The sequence below is a fragment of the Homo sapiens genome, chromosome 7 (assembly GCF_000001405.40).
Source record: "Homo sapiens chromosome 7, GRCh38.p14 Primary Assembly".
Taxonomy (NCBI): Eukaryota; Metazoa; Chordata; class Mammalia; order Primates; family Hominidae; genus Homo; species Homo sapiens.
Genome location: NC_000007.14, coordinates 54,359,586 through 54,360,228, shown reverse-complemented (window position 1 = coordinate 54,360,228; position 643 = coordinate 54,359,586). Strand labels below are relative to the sequence as shown.

Genomic DNA, 643 nt, shown 5'->3' with positions numbered 1-643 from the left:
TTATGCTGAGCCATAAACTAGTTTTGTATGAATATTCAACAATGCATTCCAAGTGGCAAAATGTTCTGAGCCTTGTCTTAAATCCTTCCCACGCTCAACTTTTAAAATAATGCTTTGAAGTGCAGTGCTGATCATGTCGCTCCCCTTCTCAAACCCCATCAGTGACTCCCCACTGTTGATCAAGGAAAGCCTATACCCCTTGGTCTGACTTCTGCCTCCTTTTTTTTTTTTCTCATCACATGAGTAATGCACCAACAGCATAACAAGGTTTGAGGAAGGCACTTCTCACACATGAGCATGAAAACCCAATCATCACGCTTATAAACTACAAAAGGATCAGACTTCTGCCTCCTTGATAATCTTGTCTCAACCTGCCTTTAATGTCTTTCCAACTTGCATCTGACCTCCTAATATGCATCTGAGAATGCCTCGTCTATAAACTACAGATGGCTTATTAAAAACGGCATCAAAAATGAAGACTTGATTGCATCACAGAAAAGAAGTATGAAAATAAGAGGGCAATGACTGTTTACTTTTCCTGCAATTCTCTAGGTGTTCCCTTAATAGTCCAGGGATGGTTGTTTCCCTTCTAATGGTCACCTACCAAAGGGGCAGAATAGAGAAAACCCATCTTATTCCTATT

The 643-nt window shown here is 40.3% G+C and overlaps 1 non-coding gene across 1 annotated transcript; it reads right to left on the bottom strand.

Moving 5' to 3' along the window:
• Nucleotides 1–233: 233 nt before the first annotated feature.
• Nucleotides 234–337, bottom strand: LOC124901829 (small nucleolar RNA U13). The gene has a single exon (XR_007060665.1). It is a non-coding gene; the product is annotated as a small nucleolar RNA U13 (small nucleolar RNA).
• Between the last annotated feature and the right edge of the window lie 306 nt (nucleotides 338–643).